Here is a 4,645-nt window from a genome sequence, read left to right as displayed (position 1 = left end):
GATTCCTGTTCGTTTTTATGCTATTTCATCCACTCAGTAAATTACCTGAGTAAAGTGCATCTCCCTGCCAGGCCCCCAGTATAGACACTGGGGATGCGGCAAGGACTAAGCGGTCCCTGCTGTTTGGAGATACTTAAGATGGGGCTCCACTTTTTGAGCCCCCCGACTCCCTTATTTGGTCTTATACTGCCTGTGTGCAAGTCAGGCTCTGGGGATATGGCGCCAGTATGAAATGCAGGGTCTCTTGGTTTTTCCCCTTTTCTAGCAGACAGGTCATTACTTAGTTCCCAACTCCCACTCTAAAGCTCTGGTTAGCGGGTGATGAAAATCAGCACAAGTGATCACATACAGCAATCCCAACCTTTAGACCACTTCCTAGCTGCCTCTCCAAAATATGTAGTAAACGGTCATTGAGAAACTCTCCCTCCTGGTAATTCACAGTGCCCACAGGATCAAGGCTTGGACTTCTTTCTAATAAAAATCTGCTTACTATCCCTTCTTTTTTGCGTATGTGAAAAACAAGTTAATTTAGCTCAGGAAAGTAGTCAATTATCATGTTTATAAGGTTGGGTGGGCTAGGTAAGATGATGTAGAGGGTGACATTAAAGTGTAGAACAGAGACCACTTAGGTGGAAGCAGGCAGCCTTGGACTTTGCTAAAGACCAGTCCATGTGACTGACATGGGGTCACTTCAAATGGTAGTGCCTCCCTCACTGAAGAGCATCAGAAGGGCTTCTGAGCAAGGCCAGAATGAGCCTCGATGAACATCCAAGTTGACCAACCAGTGTGGTGCCTAACAGAGGACAGAGCCACCAGCAGGGGTGCTCAGGGGCTGCTCCCCTTTTATTAATGACAGCGGTTTCTCTCAAGGAAGTGTAGTGCCCTCCCCTTTGGGATAGTTGCCTGACCCCTGTCCATCAGCCCTTCAAGTACCCTCATCAGAAAAAGAGCCCGCGCATTCTCCTGCCGATGCCTTGTCGGTCGTAGAGGACATTGAACTTGTTCACAAACTGGTTCATGGTGTTGCACGTTTTGGTGATGGTGCCGAGGTAGGCCATGAGCCCCACGTCGTTGCATTGCTGGGAGGGAACAGAAAGGACCAGTTCCTCGGGATCCCTCGTGGCATGCCCGGGGAACAACAGTCCCCAGTCCTGCACGTGAAAGTGACAGCATAAGCCCCGCCTCCCCATCCGGGTTTTACACTCACATCATAAAAATCTGTCTTGAACTTGTCTGTGCTGAGCACCGGGAGACAGTGACACAGAGCATAGGCCTCCCGCAGGATCTCATGATTAAAGGGGACCTCTCCTAAAGGCACAAAAAGAGACTACATTAGTTTGGATGCTGTCACTTCCCCAGGAGGGAGAGGAAGAATGCCAGGGAAGCCCCTGTCCTACCCGCTTCAGAGGCCTTGACGTACTCCAAGATGAGCTTGACGCGGCTGTGCAGCATCTTGATGGCGCTGTGCTGTGCTATCAGGTGTTCAGCCACTGCAAGGGGATGAGGACAGGAGGAGGTTGAGACGGGATGTGGCCACACCTTCCAACCCCACTTCCAAGGAATCCCCTCCATTACCAGTGGAGTTCTCTCCACTGCCTGTTGCTGTCATTCGGGCTACGTGGTCTACACCAATGCGTTCCGCTTCCTCTGTGGCCAGAGTGTAGGTCAGCTCAGCAAACAGCATTGTGGCCTACAGGGCAAGGTAACCCACAAAGGGAGAATCAAAAGCAGGAAAGAGGCCAAGAGCAGGATCTGAGGGTTGAAGGGTAGGGTATTACCTCTCCATTGATTATATCAATGACAGACTCAAAAACGCTGACAGGAAGCTGTGAAGGAGACGGAGAAACCTGAACACTATATGCCAACATTTGGGCTAGCTGCTTTTACACATTTCCTCTCATCTTCCCAAGAAACCAATGAAGTAGGGATTACCTCCTTTCACAGTTTGGAGATTAAATGACTAAGCCAGAGTCACAGCTGGTAAGTGGCATCTGGCATTCCCCAATAGAGGAGTGTCACACAGTAAAAGGTATAGCGACAATCATGACAGAGTAGGCATGGAGTATTACTCACATCTGTGTGCTTGGTCATAGGGTTCAACTTCAGAAAGAGGGGGCTCTCGATGATCTCACACACCTGGAAGAGAGGGACAATGCACAGGAAGTCAGTGCCCCCTACCTTTCTCCTTCCCCTCATTCTCCATTCTCTGCCCCAGCATGCACAGGTGTGAGCATGCATACCTGCTTATGGACGTGGATGTCCGAGGGGTCAGGTGGCCCCCCTGTGGTATACCAACCCAGAAACTCCAGCTCCTTGAACACCTGTTTAACTAGAGGGGAAGGGGCCAGAACATATAGTAATTCTTTTTTTTTTTTTTTCTGAGACGGAATCTCGCTCTGTTGCCCAGGCTGGAGTGCAGTGGCATGATCTCAGCTCACCACAACCTCCGCCTCCCAGGTTCAAGCAATTCTCCTGCCTCAGCATCCCGCGTAGCTGGGACTACAGGCACGCACCACCATGCCAGACTAATTTTTGTATTTTTAGTAGAGGTGGGGTTTCACTATGTTTGCCAGGCTGGTCTTGAACTCCTGACCTCATGATCCACCCACCTCGGCCTCCCAAAGTGCTGGGATTAGAGGCATGAGTCACTGAGCCCGGCCTGACATAGTAATTCTTTAAACCATCCTTCCTCAATGTGAAGCTCCTGGTGTATTTTCACCAGCTTCTCTCCTCCCTCCTCAAATCCTGGCTCAGTTTAGAATAACTACTCCCTTCTATCCTGTCTCCTCTCATCCTTTGCTTTCTTTTGAGAAAGAACTCTGAACGTTTTCTTTTTCTGAGATCTCTCCAGCTACTCTTCACTTTTTCTCCCCTGTTCTTGGTCTCCTCTCCTGTTTCTTTCCAACCCTCTCCATCTTCCCCACCCTGTACATTTTTTTTTTAACTCCCACTCCTCTTCCCCACATCTATTCCACTCTCACACTGCTCCTCCTTGGTGTAATAATATTCCTTGTCAATGATAATCTTCTCTTCCACGGTGTGGGACAGCAGCTCAAAGGAGTTCATCACCTCGATATTTCGGCCCTCCTGCTTGCCAATCAGAGCCCCAATCACTGGGAAAGAGAATGACATGGAAAAGGTGAGGGTAAAGAAACTTCTATGACCTGAGGGTCTGAGATCAGTGGGAACCATGTATTGGGGAAACGATGATTTGGGGGAGGGGGAATTGGCTCCAGTAGAGGAAGGGGAAAAGACCACTGCCTGGGGGAGGTGAGCAAGGAGAAGAGACTGGAGTCTATGCCCAACACTCACCCTGCACAGGCCGCCCCTCCTGGGAGCGCATGCGGATCCAGTGGTCTGAGATGTTGAGAATGACAAGGGGATGGAGAGCGACGGAAACACTCCCAGTCACTCCGCAGGCCATCACGCTGGGGACTACTAAGGGTGGAGGGAAAGGAGAGAGGGTGAGAGTCCGGGCCCCACGTTCTTCCCTGGAGATGGCAGTGGGGGACGGCGGAGCCCGGGCCACACTTTCCTCCCGTAACTTATCCCAGGGAAAGATGTTGCTGCTCCGCCCTCCTCCCTTCTCCCGGGAGCACAGGGAGGCCTCAACGAACCCCTGAAGGAGGTCTCCGGAAGCCACCCCCGCACGGCCCGTTACCTGCTGCATCCACCTCCATCCCGCTGCTTCCTCCGGTCCCGTTCGTAGCTGCAGCCGCCGCCGCCGCCGCCGCCATTTTCCCCGCGCCCGCCAGCCTCGGCCCCGCCCCCTTCCTTCCCGGCTTCCGTAAGGCGAGCGGCGCATGTTCGGTGTCCCCGCGGCGTGCGGCGGGCCTGGCGTCCGGGGAGCAGGCAGTTCCCGGGTCGCGGCGGGCGGCACTCGGTGCGGGGACGCCCGACGCCCTCTGGGCCTCGGTGCCTAGCGGGTTTTCCCAGACCCTGTCCCCGCCTGTCGCCTGCGGGTGACCTTTGACAAATTAACGACTTGATCGTCCTCGTCTGTGAAATTGGGATAAGAACGCCTAGTTCTTAAGGCTGTTGCAGAAGGAATGACATGTCGTGTTATTTCCCTCACAATAAAATCCAAACAACTAACCACAACCTGCAAGGCCCTGCCTGATCTGGCCCCGGCCTGGCCTCTTCTAGCCCTTGATCTTCAGGCTTCAGCTGCACTGGCCCTCATGTCTGGTGGTGGTGGTGGTTTGTTTTGTTTTGTTTGAGACAGGGTCTCGCTCTGTCGCCCAGGCTGGAGTGCAGTGGCCTGATGTCAGCTCACTGCACCCTCAAACTCCTGGGCTCAAGTGATCCTCCCAGTTCAGCCTCCCGAGTAGCTGGGACTACAGGCGCACCCCACCGCACCCAGCTAATTTTATTATTTGTTTTTATTTTGATAGAGACGGGGGTCTCACTAGGTTGTCCAGGCTGGTCTCCAACTCCCGGGCAGAAGAGATCCTCCATCCTCAGCCTCCCAAAGCACTGGGATTACAGGCATGAGCCACCGCACCCAGCTCTCCGTGTGTTTTTCACATGCTTTAGTTTCCCATTCAAAAGCCTGTGGTTCCTTCTCTTGTTCATCATGGTATCCCCTGTGACCAACACGGTGCCTGACACATTGGAGCCTAGATACTTTTTGAGTGAATGAAGG

The 4,645-nt window shown here is 52.7% G+C and overlaps 1 protein-coding gene across 1 annotated transcript, besides 5 other annotated features; it reads right to left on the bottom strand.

Moving 5' to 3' along the window:
- Positions 541-3,759, bottom strand: COPS6 (COP9 signalosome subunit 6). The gene is made up of 10 exons (NM_006833.5): positions 3,662-3,759; positions 3,313-3,438; positions 2,982-3,113; positions 2,241-2,329; positions 2,074-2,136; positions 1,779-1,826; positions 1,576-1,690; positions 1,398-1,490; positions 1,208-1,308; positions 541-1,079 (listed from the first exon to the last, which is right to left on the bottom strand). Exons 1-10 carry the CDS (start codon positions 3,735-3,737, stop codon positions 939-941), a joined length of 984 nt encoding a protein of 327 aa, NP_006824.2. The 5' UTR covers positions 3,738-3,759; the 3' UTR covers positions 541-938.
- Positions 1,008-1,302: an enhancer, noted in NCBI's record as "tiled region #1952; K562 Activating non-DNase unmatched - State 25:Art". NCBI's record gives its function as "activates a minimal TATA promoter and a strong SV40 promoter by Sharpr-MPRA in K562 cells {active_cell/tissue: K562}" and the evidence as "EXISTENCE:reporter gene assay evidence [ECO:0000049][PMID:27701403]".
- Positions 2,162-3,361: an enhancer, noted in NCBI's record as "CDK7 strongly-dependent group 2 enhancer chr7:99686990-99688189 (GRCh37/hg19 assembly coordinates)". NCBI's record gives its function as "activates an origin of replication core promoter dependent on BRD2, BRD4, P300/CBP, MED14 and CDK7 cofactors, with strong dependence on CDK7, by STARR-seq in HCT116 cells {active_cell/tissue: HCT116}" and the evidence as "EXISTENCE:reporter gene assay evidence [ECO:0000049][PMID:35650434]".
- Positions 2,162-3,559: a biological region, named in NCBI's record as "CDK7 strongly-dependent group 2 enhancer GRCh37_chr7:99686990-99688189".
- Positions 2,868-3,559: an enhancer, noted in NCBI's record as "H3K27ac hESC enhancer chr7:99686792-99687483 (GRCh37/hg19 assembly coordinates)". NCBI's record gives its function as "activates a minimal SCP1, AML or CMV promoter by ChIP-STARR-seq in naive H9 embryonic stem cells {active_cell/tissue: H9 hESC(naive)}" and the evidence as "EXISTENCE:reporter gene assay evidence [ECO:0000049][PMID:30033119]".
- Positions 3,710-3,899: a silencer, noted in NCBI's record as "silent region_18414". NCBI's record gives its function as "represses an Ori minimal core promoter by ATAC-STARR-seq in GM12878 lymphoblastoid cells {active_cell/tissue: GM12878}" and the evidence as "EXISTENCE:reporter gene assay evidence [ECO:0000049][PMID:35858748]".

The sequence above is a fragment of the Homo sapiens genome, chromosome 7, assembly GCF_000001405.40.
Source record: "Homo sapiens chromosome 7, GRCh38.p14 Primary Assembly".
Lineage (NCBI taxonomy): Eukaryota > Metazoa > Chordata > Mammalia > Primates > Hominidae > Homo > Homo sapiens.
The sequence above is the reverse complement of the archived record's forward strand: the minus strand, read 5'-3'. Positions and strand labels throughout refer to the sequence as shown.

Bases quoted from the DNA above. Each gene is read 5' to 3' on its own strand.
- COPS6 (NM_006833.5), bottom strand. From the start codon at position 3,737: ATGGCGGCGGCGGCGGCGGCGGCTGCAGCTACGAACGGGACCGGAGGA. The intron at 3,439-3,661 runs GTAACGGGCCGT...CTCCACCCTTAG, and splicing joins GATGGAGGTGGATGCAGCAG to TAGTCCCCAGCGTGATGGCC. The intron at 1,691-1,778 runs GTAATACCCTAC...CTTGCCCTGTAG, and splicing joins TTGATATAATCAATGGAGAG to GCCACAATGCTGTTTGCTGA.